Source organism: Homo sapiens, chromosome 7, assembly GCF_000001405.40.
Source record: "Homo sapiens chromosome 7, GRCh38.p14 Primary Assembly".
NCBI lineage: Eukaryota > Metazoa > Chordata > Mammalia > Primates > Hominidae > Homo > Homo sapiens.
The window spans coordinates 22,265,859-22,281,726 of NC_000007.14; the positions used below are offsets into that span (position 1 = coordinate 22,265,859).

The 15,868-nt window shown below is 39.0% G+C and overlaps 1 protein-coding gene across 2 annotated transcripts in view; it reads right to left on the minus strand.

Moving 5' to 3' along the window:
* Window positions 1–15,868, minus strand: part of RAPGEF5 (Rap guanine nucleotide exchange factor 5) — a 238,919-nt gene that overhangs the window by 147,623 nt on the left and 75,428 nt on the right. For both annotated transcript variants that reach the window (NM_012294.5, XM_017012837.3), the window contains one exon: window positions 1,106–1,154. In NM_012294.5, coding sequence (NP_036426.4) covers window positions 1,106–1,154 — 49 coding nt within the window. The remainder of the gene's footprint in view (window positions 1–1,105; window positions 1,155–15,868) is intronic.

The window sequence follows — 15,868 nt, forward strand, 5'->3', positions numbered from 1 at the left end:
TCCACCTCTGCAAATATAATGCTGTTCACTGGGGAGCCTTATTCATGCTGCCTTCTGTTCAATACCCAAGATTGCTATTCCTTGCATCCTCCTTCCCATCACCTTTATAGCTTCCAGTCTCTATGTCCTCAACATCTGCCAAACCAACAAAGAAAGTAATATGAATGTAATAAGCTAATTCACTCTAAGGTATTTTGGTTCAAATAGTAACTGAGAAAAAATCAAATTCTTAGGGTTTCTAACTGGAAAAAGAAAGATATAAAATGTACAGTTTGTGTTGCTGAGACATTTCCATTCCATTTTATTTCTTCAAGTTTGGTCATCACTTTGATTTTGTCATAGTCTTTTCGCCTGAAACGTCTTATTCTAGTTTAACATTATCCAAGAAGTACCTCCCTTCTGATTTTCATTCCATTCAGCATTGACCTCCTCCCGCAGCAAAGGATGCCTCCTACTGACATTCCTCCCATCTAAGCAAGCATTTTTCTACTTCAGTGAGTCTCCATTTCATATTGAATTCTAACAGATTATGCTTTTTTCTCCTTTAAAATGTATTTGAAAGCCCCCTTTTCCTTTCCACATGTTACTTCCACAGATTATATCCTATAGGTATGAGGAATCAGACCTATCAATCAATCCTAGGAATAATGTTTGCTTTGAAATCTCATTAAGCAATTCAATTATTCTTAGAAGAAACTACTTTGAGATTTTTTTAAAGCCTTATAAAAAAGACCACCTCTATAGTACCCATTGTCCTTTGTCATTAAGATACATAATTACAAGGTGATCGGCTTACTTTGTCATGTACCTAGATCCTTATATGGTTGCAATGGACTTCAAACATATTTTTAACTTTAAATTTCATTTTTTCTTGAAATCAAAAATAGATTAGAGCAAAGCAGTGACATTTTATCTTAAAGAACTACATATAACATCCTGTGCTATTCTGATGGTAGAACAAATGATTTTTAAAAACAAATGGTATAATTCTTTGCATTCTACACCATAACTTCCTGAGATACACTCAACTGCACACTACCAGATGATATGTGAAATACCCCCAAAGAATTAGAATCTTCCTCCAGCCCCATAAAAGATGACTTACCAGACTTCCTTGCTTTCAAAGCAATAACAGCTGCTAGCTCTCTCTGCACCTAATAAAATATTAGGGGGGAAAATCAAATTAGAAGAAGAAAAATGTAGCCATCAAAAGCAGTACTTTGTTCTTAGATATCCAACCCAAATTCAGAGCTGTTTCAATTAAACCTAAGTTTGCTGCCAGCACTTTTTTGATTTTTGCTTGTTTTTAGTACATGGAAAAACCTCTGCATATAAACTTTTAGAAGAATCATATTGAATTACTTTTTTAAAAGTTACACAGTTGCCAGAATGTATACATTGTAAAACACTGGTATCTACCCTGTGATGATGGGAAGTACCTAAAAAAAAACTATATAATATTCAGATATAATGCAATTATGAATTATTAAAATATACATGATACCATAATAAAGATTAAATATTACTTATCCCTCAAAGATGCTAGTTTATAAAGAAATTCTAGTAAAGTTGATATAGGTAATCCTGGTTTAATTGGACCTCTGCTCAAATATAATGAATGTTCACTGCAAGTCTGACAGGTTTACAGCAACCATTTTGGATAATATGCCACATAAAAGCAAGCATCATCAATGCATAGGGCAGGTGAAATGGGAATATACTAGATGACCTTTAAAATCCTAAATGTCTTTAACCCTACTCACTTGTCCAAAGTTTTTAGCACTTACTCTCACTCTCATCCTTCCCACTTTGAACACTTAAATCCGTCCTTGAAAACATTTTCAAAGCAGAACACGAAACAGTGACAAAAATAAGCACAGTCACTTTCAAAGATAACATGAAGGTATCAATAAAAATTCCATAATGAGGAAGCTCTCTCCCCTTCAGGACACAAACTCTTAAACTCAGAAGTTTGTGTGTTCAGGTGTTTGGAACTGGTGATGATGGGTTTTTTTTTTTCGGCGGGTGGGGGTATCAGGCAGCAGAATATATTGCAGTAATGACACTTTAAAGGGAGTTCAAGGTTAAATTGCAGATTTGCTATTCAAATTAACATAATCTACATTCATTTACTGGAAGGCAAGTGTAGCAATATGCTAGACCCTGAGACTCCACATAGGACTGGCTTTCTCAACAGCCAGGGCATTATCACCCCTGCAGAAGGCAGCTTGTCCCATCTGTCTTTATTGCTGCACTTTCCCTGATGGGCTAAGTGAAAGTCATTCAAAAATGCATAGTCTTGATTTAGCTGATTCTTTGACACTGTAAGATTCTCTCAGGAAAATTACACGGCAGTGAGAAGACAATCTTTGACACCGTAAGATTCTCTCAGGAAAATTACATGGCAGTGAGAAGACAATCAGTCCCTCTCCAACCTTAGGAGTTTGAGCTCTGAAAATGCTCACAGTTGGAAAGTTTACAGTTAAAGAACTTAGTGGGAAGAGTACTGAGGCAGACAGAAGTGATGAATGACCACAAGAAAACCTTCGTAAGTACTGGTATGCATACTCAAATAAATTTAAAAAGCATCGAAGTAAAAATATCAATTACTGCATATTTTACATATTTTAAATTGTTTGTAAGGTTTATTGTAGTATTACCAGTTCTTTTTAGGATTTTCTTCATTCACAGTGTCACAAATATTTGGAGTTGGGACAAAGAGGCAGATTATAAACATTCACAAGGGTCTTGTCAATGGTTTCTAGATTCTATGATCTCCCAGGGAAAACCCCACTGTGGCACACACACAGGGAGAAGGCAGAGATGGAAAATCATGCACGAGGTGGATCACTTAATTTGCTCACAACGGATCGAAACCAGTCATCTCCAGCTTCCTCTTTTAATTTTCCACACCTGAATTCCCTTTATGGGATTCTCAGTTTTTCCTTTTCCAATTAGAAAATGATGCCCAAAATAGAAACAGCTCAGAAAAGGAAAGGATTATATTCCCACCACTGTATAACACTACAGCTTTTCAAAGAGTTGACAGAGAAAGAAAGGAAAGAATGAGATGAGCGAGCAAAAAATGGAGCATTTCCGGGGCACTTGGGAGGGTGAGAGACAGGCAGTGAGAAAGGCATGAAGAACTTCACAGTTCAACTTAGAACCTAGGCTGCTTTTTTACATAAAATAAATGAGATTACTGTACTGTACTACACTACATCAACTGAACCTCTGCCATGGGAGGATACGAGTATTTTATGCAAAGGAGGATGTACGATAGCTTCCGTGTTTCTGCATTGGGAGGGAAAAAGTTTTTGACAAAAAAAAAAAAAAAAAAAAGAAACCCAAAGATAGGTTAGTCTTCCTACAAGACGCAAAGGGGAAAGTGCTGATCAAGCAGACCACACACTGGGTAAGATCCCTTTCATGCTGCTACAGCATCTTCACAGTTCTTTTTTGTTTTTTTAAATGACCTAGCAATCAATCATTTAAAGTTGTGTGACTAATGCCTATATTTTGGCTGGAAACTCCACTGAGGCAGGGACCTGTTTGCCTTTTCTTCACATTATCCTGGGCAATTGACACTCACTCATTAGCCCACAAGAGGTGGTTGAAGAGACAACCCTATTTATACAAAGACAGAAGGAGAAAACACAGAAAGGACCGAGGGGAGAGAAAAAACTTCCCGAGGGAGGACAATGAAAATTCAGAGAAGGCATTCCCATCATAAGTTACTCCCAGCAGAAATCTTCAGAACATGTTAGAAGGATTCAAAGCTGGCCTTTGCAAATAATTGTTAGGTTTATATGAAACTGAATTGAAAACTAAAACTCTGAGCAATTACACAAACAGGGACTACACTTTTCTTTGTGTGTTAATAAGGGACCTGTTGGCACTGGAAAAGAAATGTCATACTCCAGTGCCAGTTGAGCCTTCAAATAACTGAGGCTCTGGCTGACATTCTGACCACAACCTCCTGAGACACCCTGAGCAGGAACTACCTAGCTAAGGTGCTTCCCAACTCCTAACATGTGGGGGATCAGTCAGATTGGTGGGAAAAACTATAGGGAAAGGACACAAACCTTCTGAAAGGTCGAAAGGTTCTGCAGAGCCCCGGAGGAGAACAGGTGAAGGCAGCTGTTCTATAAAACTGAGGCAGAGGGCAAGGAGTAGGTACAAAAGAATGTGGGGGAATTTATCTTAAACAAGCTTGCTTACTTGTGTTGACCAGGAACTGACCTTTGATCATCTATGTACACCTGACATTCCCTGAAAGGCGAACAATGAATGTTAATTACCTACAGGTAGTGTTGGCTCCAGGTTTTTGGCACTGTGCCTGCACTGAATAAAAGCAAGCAGCTCCAGCTTCTCAGGGCTGCTCTCTGGCCACTAGAGCCAGGCAGTCACCTAGGTGCTCTCACACTGCTTACCTGTGTCTGAGTACTCATTTCATCCATCTGCCACAGTCTGTGAGACAGACCCGGTACCAACATAATAAATACACGTTGTTTCAAATCTGTAGATTCTGGAGTCATTTGTTATGCTGAAGAGTCTTTTATAAGACAATGATGATTTTTCTACTGTAATCTAACTGTGTTGTTGGCTAACCTGAGTTCCTCTCACCATGCCTGAAATAGAGCCACTGTTGGGTTAGGCTTGAGAAATGTACCAAATGTAGTAGAACCATGTTCTGATACTGGCCATGGTTTTTATCCAATGAGGATACAAAACCACTGCCTAGGTCATTAGAAAAAAATGCATTGTTCTTAATCTGACAGAAACAGTAAATTATTAGCTTGGCTTTTCCTGTCATAACCCTTCCCTACTATAATCCTTAACTCCTTTTCAGAACTCCCTGGGACTAGATGTATTTCAGAATTCAAAATTTTACAAATTTCAGAAAGGTATCTTCAGTGAGGTCTGGGGCAGCAACTTGTAGTCAGATACATTAATATTTCTTCCATGAAATGCATTACTATTCAAATCAAATGGGATAAAGGAAGACTAGAAAAAGCCTAGAGTTTTGCCACCAAATATGTTCAGTTTTGGTTGGATTTTGCCACCAAGTTAGTTATGAAGAACTTTTGTTTTTCAGAGTTTTTCTAATGTAGGACTGTGAATAAGGGACTGTAAACCTCTACTAGTGTTACATTAAAGTTTCCCTCCCTCATCTTTTTCTCATGTTTCTTCTTTCCCAATTGCTATTTGGTCACTACTTTTGGTCTACTTACTGGGAAATGCTTTCTTTAAATAGCTTGAGTTTTCATCTAGTTCAGCAGTTCTCAAACTTGACTGCACATTAGAATCATTTGGAGAGGTTTAAAAAAAATACTGATATTTAGGCCCCAACTAAATCAGAATCTCGGGATTGAACCAGGCATCAGTGTGCATTGTTGTTTCCAAGATTCCTAGGTGATTCTATTGCATCCAGGGTGAGAAATCACTGCTCTATTCAACAAGTATCTTACTTTCTCCAAGGCCCCATATTTCGACCTTCATTTCAACTGAAAATTTTTAGTCTGTACTTTGTCCTCCTCTAATTTAATTCATTTGTAAAGGAACGTGGCCTTCACTGTATTTAGATATAAAATTATGCTATAATCCAATCAAATAAGATTCACTTACTATAGTAGCAGTTCGACAGACAAGATTTATTCAAGTACAAAGAAAATTGCAAGGAGGCTTTTAAGAACCTTCAAGTTTAATTTAAAATATAGTTTACTCAATATAAAACAACTATGCAATTCAAAACACTTGCAGCTGACAGTTATATTTGGCCTTGTAAATGTCTAAATAGAGGACGATTAAAGGACTGATAAAACATATCCCAAATTTTTCCCTCTCCCCTAGTTACCCAACAGAAACTAGAGTCAGAAACATGTTGAAATGTTTTGGCTTTCTATCTTGGATAACCAACATGGCTGTTCACAAAATAGCCTTGACATTCAGTGAGAATCAGAGTCAGTCTTATGTCCAGCATTCTGTCTTCTTTTTCCTCTGGCAGTTTAGTAGTGCCTTTGGTCTTAAAATCCAAAGGCTCCCAGACCTGTTTTGCATCAAAGCTAAGATTCAAGCAAACTCTGAGTGACAGAGAGTTTCTCCATGGGAGAGGTTAACTGAGAAGACATGAGCAGGCTTGCTGGAAGAGGAGGCCCTTGAAAGCAAGGTATGAAGCTCAATTAGAAAGTCAAGGAAAGTTGGGCCGGGCGCGGTGGCTCATGCCTGCAATCCCAGCACTTTGGGAGGTCGAGGTGGGCAGATCATGAGGTCAGGAGTTCGAGACCAGCCTGACCAACATGAGGAAACTCCATCTCTACTAAAAATACAAAAAAATTAGCCGAGTATGGTGCACGCACCCGTAATCTCAGCTACTCGGGAGGCCTAGGCAGGAGAATCACTTGAACCCGGGAGGCGGAGGTTGCAGTGAGCTGAGACCACGCCATTGCACTTCAGCCTGGGCAACAGAGCAAGACTCCGTCTCAAAAAAAAAAAAAAAAAAAAAGAAGGAAAAAAAAGAAAAAAAAATCAAGGAAACTCATTTTGAGAGGACAGAGCAATATTAGCAAAGGTCTTAGTTACCAAAGCGTTGTCCTTACAAATTAATTTTTAATAGAATTGCCAATTCACAAATTCCCTAAAGGCTTTTAGTAAATCTATTAATCTTAGAAACATTTAAATTTTGATGCCATGATAGAAATGTTTTTAAAATACAGAGCCCATTTTTCTCAATTTCCTAAACTAAATGTAAGAAGAAACATAATCTAATATTCTTCCATGTTTTATTCCCAAAAAATATACAACTTTTAAGCCATTATATAATGTTAAGCTAGTATGGACTTTAAGAATTCTAGAAAAAATAAATAAATATGCTTCTTAAGAACCGTACTTTTATTTTTTATTTTCTTATTTTTTTGAGACAAGGTTTCGCTCTGTTGCCCAGGCTGGAGTGCAGTGGTACGATCTCAGCTCACTGCAACCTCTGCCTTCTGGGGTCAAGCAATCCTCCCACCTCAGTCTCCTGAGTAGCTGGGACTACAGGCGCCTGCCACCATGCCCAGCTAATTTGTTTGTATGTTTTTGTACAGATGGGGTTTCACCATGTTGTCCAGGCTGATCTTGAACCCCTGACCTCAAGTGATCTGCCCACCTCAGCCTCCCAGAGTGCTGGGATTGCAGGCGTGAGCCACCATGCCCAGCCAAGAAACTACTGTTCTCCACCAAATAGTTTATTTAACAGATAGTTATTTCCCCAATAACTGCTGTCATCACATCAAAGAGGTGTTTGTTAAGCATGCTGTGATGATAAAATGTATCTATCCTTACTCATCTGTTTCAAGGCACTTAGGAGTATTTTTTTTTTTTTTTTTTTTTTTTTGAGACAGAGTCTGGCTCTGTCGCCCAGGCTTGAGTGCAGTGGCGCAATCTCGGCTCACTGCAAGCTCCGCCTCCCGGGTTCACGCCATTCTCCCGCCTCAGCCTCCTGAGTAGCTGGGACTACAGGCGCCCACCACCGCGCCCGGCTAATTTTTTGTATTTTTAGTAGAGACGGGGTTTCACCATGTTAGCCAGGATGGTCTCGATCTCCTGACCTTGTGATCCGCCCGCCTCGGCCTCCCAAAGTGCTGGGATTACAGGCGTGAGCCACCGCGCCCGGCCAGGGGTATTTTTAAATCACTTAAATAGACTTGTTTAATGCAAACAAATATGCATGTTAACTTTATTGTAACTGAGATAATAGCTGGCCATTTAAAGACTAATATATGTAGAAGTGATCTGAAACTAACAAAATGAACTGGAATAGTCTTCTACGATTTTAAACGTCTATTAAGTCTGCTACACATGCACCTAATATGATAGAGGTTCACATTAAAAAGATCTGATAGTTGAGTACAAGCATACTTTGAGTTAATGGGAGTTGGATTACTTAGAATGGATAACAGTGTTTTTAGGAATATTACTAGAGGTATATTCAGGTCACACACACAAAAAATGGACTCCAGAAAGATCAACATCTGGATTGCATTTGGTTTTGTTAAGGTCCATGAGGAGTAGATAGTATCCACAGGAGAATGACCAGGAGATAGTCACCTCCCTGTAGTTCAACTTGACGAACACAGCCATCCTCATTTACCTTGTCATCTCTGCACAACTTGACTATTACTCACTCCCTTTTTCTTAACCATTGGGATTCCATGGCATCCCATGCTCCAGGTTTTCTCCTTCCTCTCTGGCTACTGCTTCTCTTCTCCAAAGGCTCCCCTTCTTCTGCCTTTTATAAAGACTTTGATGTCCCTTAGTGATTTATCCTCAACCCTCTTGACCTTCTTCTCTTTCCATTCACTCACATGACTTCAATTATATTTGCATTTCCAGCCCATATTTCCTGGGCCCTAGATCCCCATAGCCATCTACCTTCTGGACCTGAAAGTCCCACTTAGTGGCTCAAACTCAACATTTCCAAAGGTGAATTCACTTTTTCTTTTTTTGAGACTGGGTCTCACTCTGTCACCCAGGCTGGAGTGCAGTGGTCCAATCATGGCTCACTGCAGCCTCCATGACCAGGGCTCAAGCAATTCTCCTGCCTCAGCCTCCCGAGTACCTGAGAGGACAGGCACACACCACCAGGCCTGGCTAATTTTTTAATTATTTTTAGAGATGACATCTTGTTATGTTGCCCAGACTGGTCTTAAACTCCTGGGCTCAAGCAATCCTCCTGCCTCAGCCTCCTAAAGTACTGGGATTACAGCAGTGAGCCACTGAACCTAGACTGAAGTCACTTTTTTACCAATTCCGCTGCACTCCACAAATCTGCTCCATGAATGGCACCATCAGACACCATAGTCCCAAGCCAGGAAATAAGGTATCCCTGATTTAGCTCAGCCCATCACTGTCTCCTACTCAGGCCTCTGTCTCTAATTTTTCTCTCTCCATCCCACATCATTCTCTACTCTGCAGTCAGACTAAATCATCCTAAAATATAAATTTTATAATATTATATCTTTTCCCAAAAAACTCTTCAAAGATTTCTCCATGACACTATGACAGAGTCCAATGTCTGATACTGCATATATAGCGTTCTTCTGGTCGGGTCTTCAGTATCATCTCTATCTCCATTCCTCCTTCCAAAATCCATGCTCGAAGCTTATTAAAATATGGCATTTGCTATTCCCTGGATGGACTATGCTCTCTCTTTGCCCCAGGTCTTTTCACATATTCTGTCTGGAATGCCTCCCCACCTCCCCGCCTTGTATGGCTGTCACTTACTTACCCTTCAGATCCCAACTTAGGTACCATCTTCTCCTGAGCGCCACTCACCTCTCCTGTGTGAAGTCCTGTTTATACTCCAATAGCACTCTATACTTGTTTCAATTATAGCATGTATCACACTCTAATGAAATCTCCTCTTTAGCTGGAGGGCTCCAAAACTAGTTTATAAGCCCGCTGAAATGGACTTCTTTATTCATCATTATGAACCTGACTCCTGGCACCATTCCTGGTACATACGTTTGTGATCAAGAACACAAGTAAAATGTTTACAGTTGTTACTGAGAAGGTGTAGGGGGAACATGATCATTAACTTCAAGTATTTCAAAGTCTGAGGCTGAAATTCAGACCAATGGAGAGAAGTTGCAAAAGGACATGTTTTAGCTCAATGTAAGAACTTTCAAATACCCAGAACTGTCCACAGTGGAAATGGTCTATTGAATTTGTGAGATTCAATAGGAGATGCTTTACATGGGAAGGTATATATCAGAAGTGCCCCAAGGATTGTTCTAAAGATTTGTTTTAAGAATGTCTCATTTCCTAATGACCCCACTACCAAAAGAGAACAAGCATGTTCTCTTTGGAGACCATGGGGGTTGTTCATGTCACCTGGGAGTTGGTGACATATGTCAGCCTGCAGTTGAACAGCTGGTGATGTTATGGCCATCTAATCCACCTCACAGAAATAGAGGTGGTACAAATCTGAATGAATAGATAAAAAATAACTGTTGGAAACCATTTCCTGTCGTGGAAATCTCATGAATTTCATGGTACAAACAACAGAAGAAACTACAGATGTTTACAAGAACTCAGAAGAACAAGCTAACGACACTAACATCTTTTCAAAAGAGCAGGTGTATCTGTGTCTTCAGTTTTCAAAGCTGCTCTTACAACCTCTGATTGGTAATTTCTCTGAAGCCCTAACTGCTGATCTACCTGAATTTCCTGATAAATAAAAATTTGTATATAAAATGTATTTTAAGGAAATAAGTCTATATTAGACATTTTAATTTTTGTTGTAATAATAAAATAAAACGTTATGTTTACATAATTAAAATTTTAATTTTTATGTCTCAAGTTACTTTTTTTGGTGTTTTCTGGTAGACCCAGCGTATTATTCAATCTACAAAAAGCTCATAAATGATTCTCAGGTGGATTTTCATGATATAGTTTATTTAACAAAGCATCTCCAAAGCCATAATATAATTTTTAAACTCATGTCTTACTACGTCTTTTATTCTATGTTACACACCATTCCATACATATCTTTTCTCAATCATCGTGCCCTTTGGAGGTAAGATTATAAACTACAGCAACTGTGTAACTACATCAACAGTGAAGTCCCAGACATTCTAGGGATCTTCTATGGTAGCAATCTCTCATTTGTAGGGACAGATTCCTGTAGAACCTTGTAGGGATGTTACATTACAAAGACTGATATTGGGATAAACTCAGATTAGCGAAGACTGTTTCCAGCTAGAAATTCTACGCATAAAAACTGCTAACAAGTGAAGCCTCCTAGAAGACCAAGATTCAGAACCCGAGATCCAAAAGTCTAAAACAAGAGTAGGAAATCTCTAATTATTTTATGCCAACCTTGAGAGAAGCTGTAGTTTCCTGACGGTGGGGTGGAGTCACAGTCCTCTACCTCATAGGATTGTTGTGAGATTTAGACGAATTAACATGTATAAATCATCGGGACTGATTGATCCGACACAGAGTAAGTGCTATTTGAGTGTTATCTATTATCATCCTCATCACATTATTAGAATATAGTTGAGCTGAATGACAGAAGAAAGGACATATCCAGTCTTTAATTGCTTTAATATTGCATATGTTTAAGCCCTTTCTTCCACCTAAATTATAAACTCTTTCACAATCAGTATTTCCTCCATTTATTATATTTCACCTACCTAGCCCAGTCCCATTGCAACTAGAATAAAAGAGGCTGAAGCATTTCAGTGAAAATGTGTAAACAGTGCTTAAAGTGCTTTTTCAGACTTTACTTTCAGACTTTACTTTAAAAATGAACTTTTAGATTTCTATAGAATTCTGAAGCCTTTATAAATGTATGAAGGACAGACTTCAGGTTTCAAAATTCACTTTGAAACGTCAGAGGTATCAATCAACTTAAGTAGCTGTGCCCTGGCAGCTTCTGACATTCAAAAGAGAACTGCTGTATTAGAATCAGGAGATTATGGGTTCAAATTCAAATTCAAATCCAAATTCAAATTCTTGTATTTAACAAGAAATGTGCATTAGTTTAGTATCTCTTCCATTGCAAATTATCACCCATTTTACTGCTTAATATCCGCTTATTATTTCATATTTGTATAGGTCAAAAGTCCAGTTACAGGTTGGCTCAACTGGGTTCTCTGCTTCTCACAAGGCCTCGTGTAAGGCCCAAAGCAAAGTACCTGCTGGGCTGCACTCCTAACTGGAAGCTCTAGGGGAGCATGTTCTTCCATGCTCATGCAGGTCATTGACAGAATCCAGTTCTTACGTCTGTAGGGCTGAGGTACCTGTTTCCTTGCTGGTTGTCACCCGGAAGCTGCCCATAGCTCCTAGGGCCCTCTTTCTGGTTTTTGCACATGGGCTCCTACATCTCAGAGCCAGCAATGACATGATGACCCCTTCTTAGGCTTAGAATTTCTTTCACCTTGACTTCTGCCATATTGCTTTGACTCCCACAAAAGCAAGTTCTCTCCTTTATTTTAAAAGCTCATATGTTTAGACAGAGTCCACACAGACAATCTAGGTCTGTAGCCTTAATTCTATCTGTAAAGCACCTTTTGCCCTGTAATGTAATATGTGCAGGTACCAAGTGGGGTATTCATGTTTGGGGGACCATTTTACCCGTTACAGAATGACACGGATCCTGAAAAACAATCCCTCAACACCTTGTTAGGGCCTTAAAGTCACTTGCTAATACAGCCTAGCTCTGGAACATGATTTACTTGCTATAAAATCTTCACTAGATTACACCAAACTCTCTTTCCCTTTACAACTTTCTCCTGTTGTACCCAAAAGTCCCAACCAGTGCCCCAAATTCATCTCAAATTAACTCATTTATTTGCCTCCATTTTCACCCCTTGAGATGTCTCTCAAGTCTTACGATCTATCTAGAATGTTCTTTTCTTTCCCTTATCTAGACAAAGCCTGCATTCCAGTTTCTGCATGGAGCTAACCTGAATTATCAAGACGTCCATAAGTTTTCTGATTTTTTACATCTCATCACCACCACACAATGTGTGTAATCTGGAAAATCTATAATTTATACTTATGTTAATTTTTAAACAAAATCACTTTTTTGTGGTTTTTGTTGGGTAATTTATAGTAATGTAGGTTTATGTTTGAAATTCAGAAAATGAACAAAAGTAGATGAGGAAAAATCATCCCCAGTCCCAGTGTCCAAAGAGCTAATCCTAAATTCACTCACTGCATGTAACATGATGCTAATTATTAGCTATGAGCTATAAAAATTTATTTACCATATTATTTTATCTATTGTCAATAGATGGTTCATGCCAATAATGTTGATTTTAGGAAAAGTATTGGTATCACAGAATTGCAGGCCAGAAATAATAAAAAGGTCACCTACTTCGGTTCCATACTAGATGCCTTAATCCTCTACACAGAGTACAGAATATAAAATAATAAAACAACAAAACACACACTTCCATAGAACTTATTATGTACCTGGGCACTGTTCCAAATATTTTCCATGTATTCACTGACTTAATTTATATGCATAGTGCCTTTTGTATCTGACCTGTAGTAACCTGCATAGATAAGCTCTTGAAGTTCCGTAATTTTTGTGAAGATAATCTAGAATAAATTAAGTTCATATATGCACACAGATCTCTTATATGTGTTTATAATTCCTTACCCAGCTACATAGCCTATTCAAACCTCTTTACAAACCACTGAAACCTGCTACTCATATTCCACTGAATCCATAGGCTCTTTTGTTTTAAAGAGAAAATTTTTGTTATACAACTAGAAGAGCCTAGTAATAGTTTTTTGGAAGGTTTTAGTATCTATTTTTAAAACTGTCTTTTGCCCATTCAATTCTCAGAACCCCACGTGTGTTTGTCCTGACTCTCAATACACAGTTTTAAGTAGATTAAGTGTTAATCCACTTAAAGAACTTTCCTACCTGTAGATGCTTTTTAAAAAGTTGAACTTTATTCCTTGATATTTCTTCTAATCCAAACTCAAATTAAATTAAAATGGTGCTTTAATTTTTCATGATTGGCATAGGATCTATTAAGTTTGAAAACTTGCTCTGTTATCTACTAAGATATAATATATTCTTGTGCATAGTTTCATATTAGTATTATAGGTAAGAGGATATTAAATGAGATTTGTCCTGTGGTCTCAGCATTTTCACTGAAACCCAAAGTCAAGAACAATTGGTGAAAAGTGCTCAGACCTCCGAAAGATAGAGCTAGGTGCACCCCCACAGATTCCATTAGTCCTGAAGCAGCAAAATTCTGTAAAACCATGTCGGCAACCCTCATCCCTTCACCCACTTCAAGGAATTATGAGGGAGACTTGAAGATTATTCAGGAGGGATCAACAAAGACCATTTATTTAAAGGGAGCTGCTGGAGTGCTACAAGGATAAATATTATACATACGTACAGACTTCAAGTCAAATGACAGGGGTCTTAATCACTTGAATTGGCTGGCATTTGTTCCTAAAGTTTAGGGACTGCTCTCATCTGTAAAAGTCCAAGAGGGCTGGCAAATGGGGCACATGGAGGCAGAGAAAGAGAAAAAAGCTGTGCTGTGTTGGGATGGCCTCCATTTCCAGGGTTTGACAGGACAATAATGCCCTCGTGCTTCCTATGTGCCAGTAGAGAGTTGGGTATAGGTCATTTTGGAAACAGGCCTCCCGAAAAGGTAGGGTGACCCCAATAGAAGAAAACTGTGAGAAGGAAGCCAGAGGCTGGAGGAACAGTCCTAAAGTTTCAGAAGAAGAGGAAATGACAGGGCCATGGAATTATAATCCAGAGCTCTTTAGACACAGGAATATCCACCAATCCACACAATGGCCTCATACAGGAAAAAAAAGAGATTTCTACAACTCTCACATGAGAACCCTGAGGCCGGATTGTAACTGTAGCAGTCAAGAAAGACCTTTCTTGATATGGCGTCACTTCTCCCTAGCCTCTCAAACCGTGGCTGAGCCAGAAGCAGCACAGTGAAGCAGAGGAGGAGGTAGGGAAGAGAAAAGACAGAAAAATATGATGGGAAATGTCAACAAAACCAACCCTGGCCCTTTTCCCATGCTCAGGTTGGGGGAAAGGAGATGCTTTGAAGTGGATGGAAGATTGAAGCTCTGATACTGGACTCAAATGGACTTTTAAATATCTGAAGAAATGGAGACTGCTCTGAGAAAGCTGAAAAAAGCTGTGGATCTGCAAAAAGATTCACCCAGGAGTGGGAATGAACCAGTCAGAACTTATTCGAGGAAACTGGTAAAAAAGGGTAAATTTTTTCCTGCTTTTATCTTGTTGAGACTAGTTCATTTAATGAATCATATGTATATACTTGGTTTTATAATGAGACTGGAAACATATAGGTACAAAAGCCATTTATTTCTTTTTTCCGTCTTAACTTTATCCCCTTTTCCTTGTTTTATGTCTGGGAATGTTTCTCTTACATCCTGAGCTGATGCTGCAGTATGAGTTTAATCTCTGACATCTAGAATGTCAGCCTAACTAAATTTCATTCAAACAATCTAGGTGAGGAAGCAGTGCCTGCTCATCTCCAATGCTGGGGTAATCTTAGGCAGTGTGAAATTCAAAATTTAGTGAAGAAGAAAAAAAGAATATTGCCTGAAAATATACTTCTGACTTTAAGAGTGGTTCCATAACTTCCTCCTTTGGCTTAGGATTGGGAGAGAGAGCAAATGTGAAAAACATGAATAAAATGATAGTCTACATTTTTACCTGACAGACCCTTTCTTCTCTCTTGCTCTCTAAACACAAGTAGGGTTCTGGGGTCTCTGAGCAATTCTTTTAATTGCCATGGGTCTTCCTATTCTTATCCGTAATACAAGGGAATTGGAGAAGATGATTTCTTTCTTTTTCTTTTGAGGCACAGTCTGGCTCTGTCACCCAGGTTAGAGAGCAGTGGTACGAGCTCAGCTCACTGCTACCTCTGCTTTCCGAGCTCAAGCCATCCTCCCACCTCAGCCTCCTGAGTAGCTGGGACCACAGGTGCACGCCACCTCATCGAGCTAATTTCTGTATTTTTTGTAGAGACAGGTTCTCACTTTGTTGTCCAGGCTGCTCTCAAATTCCTGGGCTCAAGTAATCTGCCCACCTCAGCCACCCAAAGTGCTGGGATTACAAGTGTGATCCACACTGCACCTGGTGAAGAAGATAATATCTAAAGCCGTCTTCCCTTCTATCCTTGTTCCAAATAAACCAACCATGATGTTCTCAAACTGAAGAATTCCAATTAACTGTAATACTTCCTCATTTTAATTACTGAGGTACACTGCAGAACATGTGGTGAGGAGATACAATGTGGCTATCTGTTCAGCTGAATTGAGATGAGTTCAATGAAACCAAGATAGCCAACAGGGT